The sequence below is a fragment of the Homo sapiens genome, chromosome 15 (genome assembly GCF_000001405.40).
Source record: "Homo sapiens chromosome 15, GRCh38.p14 Primary Assembly".
Taxonomy (NCBI): Eukaryota; Metazoa; Chordata; class Mammalia; order Primates; family Hominidae; genus Homo; species Homo sapiens.
Genome location: NC_000015.10, coordinates 83,243,312 through 83,248,495, shown reverse-complemented (window position 1 = coordinate 83,248,495; position 5,184 = coordinate 83,243,312). Strand labels below are relative to the sequence as shown.

At 40.4% G+C, this 5,184-nt stretch overlaps 1 annotated feature.

Moving 5' to 3' along the window:
• Positions 4,493-4,693: a silencer, noted in NCBI's record as "peak2407 fragment used in MPRA reporter construct". NCBI's record gives its function as "represses an SCP1 promoter by STARR-seq MPRAs in K562 erythroleukemia cells {active_cell/tissue: K562}" and the evidence as "EXISTENCE:reporter gene assay evidence [ECO:0000049][PMID:32103011]".

Here is a 5,184-nt window from a genome sequence, read left to right as displayed (position 1 = left end):
CCCTGGTGACCCCATGTACCTCTTCCAGTTACAAGGCTAGCTGAAAAGAGGACATATTTTCTGAATGGTCTTAATCCTGCTTCCAGGAATTGAGTGCCTCAGCCTAGAACATTGGATTGGAGTAGGTTTCCCACGGGCTTCCCCCGCAACTCCCGAGATGGCATTTGCCTTCCGGGAGAAGAAGCTGAATCCAGAGCCCCTCCGGGTCACCAGCCACACCACACGCAGAGGACTGATGTGGTGGAAAGAACACGTTTGGGGACTCGAGGGTCCTGGCTTCAGCTTCCACCTCTGCACATCCCTAGCTGTGGGGCCTTAAACATCTCTAATGCTGGAGCCCTCATTTCCCCATCTGTAAAATTGCCGTTTCAGACTGTACTTTGAGGGGTTCTAGGGAACCTCACAGGTGCCTCACAGGCCGTTCTGGAGGGAGAGCTAAAGAGGAGATAAGAAGTAGCTTGGACAGCTCCCAAGCACCACACGAGCTCCTTCCACTTCCATCTGGTTTCATGTACATTTAATATTTTGTTCTATGTTCTGCGGCTAAAAAAGACTTTCCTCTTGAAAACCATGCAGTAGGTGACCTCTAGAATTCTTCCAGCACTTTCTCTGATTCCTACCATGAGTGTTTCTGTGAGGAGGTGTGTCTGTGTGTTGTTGCTCTAACCTGCACCACCCTGCCCTGCTTTTTGAGCCAAGTTAAGGAGAATGGTAAGGGCTGAGGGTGTTCTCTGTCTTCTTCCTGAAGAGCATCCAGCCCAAAGTAAATGTTCAGTATGTGTGATAAAAATGGCTCCTTCAAATTTACAGCCCTAAATGCCCACATCAAAAAGTTAGAAAAATCTCAAATTAACAACCTGACATCACAACTGAAGGAACTAGAGAAGCAAGAGCAAACCAACCTCAGAGCTAGCAGAAGACAAGAAATAACCAAAATCAGAGCTGAACTGAAGGAGATTGAGACATGAAAAACCATTCAAAAGATCAACGAATCCAGGAGCTGGTTTTTTGAAAAAATTAATACGGTAGACTGCTAGCTAGACTAAGAAAGAAGAACCAAATAAACTTTGTCATTTACAGAAATACAAATAACCGTCAGAGACTACTATGAACACCTCAATGCAAACAAACTAGGAAAATCTAGAAGTAATGAAGAAATTCCTGGACATATACACCCTCCATAGCTGAACCAGGAAGAAATTGAATCCCTGAATAGACCAATAACAAGCTCCAAAATTGAATCAGTAATAGGTAGCCTGCCAACCAAAAAAACCCCAAGGCTAGACAGATTCACAGCTGAATTTTACCAGATGTACAAAAAAGAGCTGGTACCATTCCTGCTGAAACTATTCCAAAAAATTGAGGAGGAGGGACTCCTCCCTAACTCATTCTGTGACACCAGAATCATCCTGATACCCAAACCTTGTAGACACAACAAAAAAGAAAACTTCAGGCCAATATCCTTGATGAACATTGATGCAAAAATCATCAACAAAATACTAGCAAACCAAATCCAGCAGCACATCAAAAAGCTTACCCACCACAATCAAGTAGGTTTTATCCCTGGGATGCAAGTTTGGTTCAAAATATGCAAATCAATAAATATGATTCATCACATAAACAGAACTAAAGACAAAAACCACATGATTGTCTCAATAAATGCAGAAAAGCCTCAATAAAATTCAACATCCCTTCATGTTAAAAACTCTCAACAAACTGGGTATTGAAGAAACATACCTCAAAATAATAAGAGTCATCTATGACAAACCCACAGCCAACATCACACTGAATGGGCAAAATCTGGAAGCATTCATCTTGAAAACTGGCTCAAGACAAGGATGACTTCTCTTTGCACTCCTATTCAACATAATATTGAAAGTCCTGGCCAGAGCAATCAGGCAAGAGAAAGAAATAAAGGGCATCCAGATAGCAAGAGAGGAAGTCAAACTATCCCTATTTGCGGACAACATGATTCTATATCTAGAAAACCCCACTCGGCCCAAAAGCTCCTTGAACTGATAAACAACTTCAGCAAAGTCTCAGGATACAAAATGAATGTGCAAAAATCACCAGCATTCCTATACACCAACAACAGTCAAGCTGAGAGCCAAATCAGAAACACAATCCCATTCACAATTGCCACTAAAAGAATAAAATACCTAGGAATACAGCTAACCAGGGAGGTAAAAGATCTTTACAAAAGGAATTCTAAAACATTGCTCAAAGAAATCAGAGATGACACAAACAAATGGAAAAAAATCCATGCTCGTGGACAGGAAGAATCAATATAATTAAAATGGCTATACTGCCCAAGGCAATTTACAGATTCAGTGCTATCCCTATCAAACTACTAATGATATTCTTCACACAACTAGAAAAAACTATTTTAAAATTCATATGGAACCAAAACAGACCCTGAATCGCCAAGGCAATCCTAAGCAAAAAGAACAAAGCTGTAGGCATCACGCTACCCAACTTCAAAGTATATTACAGGGCTACAGTAACCAAAACAGCATGGTATTGGTACAAAACCAGACACATAAGACCAATGCAACAGAATAGAGAGCTCATAAATAAGACCACACATCTACAACCATCTGATCCTCAACAAAACTGATAAAAACAAGCAATGAGGAAGATTCCTTATTCAACAAATGGTGCTGGGAGAACTGCTAGCCATAAGCAGAAGATTAAAACTGGACCCCTTTCTTATACCATATACAAAATCAACTCAAGATTGATTAAAGACTTAAATGTAAAACCTAAAACTATCAAAACCCTAGAAGACAACCTAGGCAATACCATTCTGGACACAGAAACTGGCAAAGATTTCATAATAAACATGCCAAAACCAATTGCAACAAAAGCAAAAATTGACAAATGGGACCTAATTAAGCTAAGGAGTTTCTGCACAGCAAAAGAAACTATCAACAGAGTAAGCAGAAAACCTACAGAATGGAAGAATGTATTTGCAAACTATTCCTCTGACAAAGGTCTAATATCCAGCTCTATAAGGAGCTTAAACAAATTTACAAGAAAAAGTTCCCATTAAAAAGTGGGCAAAGGACACAAACAGGCACTTCTCAAAAGAAGACATACATGTGGCTGACAAGCATATGACAAAAAGCTCAACATCACTGATCATTAGAGAAATGCAAATCAAAACCACAATGAGATACCATCTCACACCAGTCAGAATGGCTATTTTTAAAAAGTCAAAAAATCACAGATGCTGGCAAGGCTGCAGAGAAAAGAGAATGCTTATACACTGTTGGTGAGAGTATAAATTAGTTCAACCATTGTGGAAAGCAGTGCAGCGATTCCTCAAAGAGCTAAAAACAGAACTACCATTCAACCCAGCAATCCTATTACTGGGTATATACTCAAAGGAATATAAATCATTCTATTATAAAGACACATGCACGCATATGTTCATTGCAGCACTAGTCACCACAGCAAAGACATGGAATCAACCTAAATGCCCATCAATGGTAGAATGGATAAAGAAAATATGGTACCTATGCACCATGGAATACTATGCAGCCATAAAAAATAATGAGATCATGTCCTTTGCAGCAACATGGATGGAGCTAGAGGCCATTATCCTTAGCAAACTAACGCAGAAACAGAAAACCAAATACCACATGTTCTCACTCATAAGTGGAAGCTAAATGATGAGAACATGTGGACACAAAGAGGGGAAAAACAACAGACATAGGTCCTATCTGAGGGTGGAGGTTGGCAGGAGGAAGAGAATCAGAAAAAAATAACTATTGGGTACTAGGCTTAGTACCTCTAGCTAACTTTATTATAAGAATACAGTGTCTAATACATGTAACATACAAAATATGTGTTTAACAACTGTTTATGTTATCTGTAAGTCCTCTGGTCAATTGTAGGCCATTAGTAGTTAAGTTCAGTTCTGGGGAGTCAAAAGTTACACGTGAATTTTCCATGGTGTGGAAGGGGTCAGTGCCCCTAGCCCCTGTGTTGTTTAAGGGTCAACTCTACTTCTTGTTGCTTTATCTTCCATTCTAGGCATCATCTTTTTCTTCCTACTTTAAAAAATGACGATTTAAGTCTGCTGTTTATGAACAATAACTTTTTAGAAAGTTATCACTATGCCTATTGAAATTCTTTAATTGAATCAATAGTAGCTGCTGGAAAAATCCAATTGTCTTAGTCATGAAAGACCCAAATCTCAATGTTAAATACCTGAGAGGATTCCAAGCAAAAAGTTCGGGGATAAACTGAGCCAACCCCACTGTTTCATTACTAACAATAAACTATCTCGATTAATAAGTCCTTGTAGTCTTGAAAAGTACCATATAGTTTCTATACAGTTCACTTAATGTAGTTAATTTTCACATCAGCCCTGCAAGGGCAGCTCTGTTTTACAGGTCAGGAAGGAACAACTGGGAGAGTTCCCAGGCTTAGCGTTTCTCCCGCTATACCACATGACCTCTGGGCTCAGAAAAAAAGGACACACGGGAAGTGAGAGCCCTCAGCTTTCTGCTCTCTCAGCTTTCAGAACCAGTCCCGCTGTCCTTTCCTCCTTCACTTTCCACTCTCCCTCTTCCTGAGCTGGGTCAATGGACCAAAACGTGGAGGCTTGCTTGAGTTTCTGGGTGAGCAGTTCTCCTTGGCTGGTTGGTCATGGGCATTCAACCCAGCCAGGTGCTCTTACTCAACTCCACTTTCATTGCCCACAGCTCGGACCCCACTCGGTTCTTCCAAAGCTAGTCAAGTGAGGACTCTGCTGGCCGCTGACAGGGACAGCCTGAGGTCAGGATGTGCAGTAGGGTGTACCCTGAATAGCTTCCCGAAGGACAGGGAGAAAAACCTATCGCACAATGCTTGAGTGAAAAAATAAACACGTATGATAGTATGACTTTTGTTAAAGAAGGAAGGCGCTTCTCTGACCCAATATCCAAGCCACCAGAGTAGAGATCTAAGGATATGAAGAAGTGTTAGCTTTTCCTAAATATTGGGAATTTTTTCCTGAATGCAAAAGTAATACAAACTAATTGGAGGTAGGGCGGGAGGAGGTGCATGGAAACAGTAAAAGACAAAGATTAAAAAAAGATCACTCTAATGCTACCACCCTGCCAGCATCCTTCCATCTTCTTCCTTTCTTTTGTTAAAAGAAAAAAAGTGTTTGTTTAATCATCTACTTTTCATTTT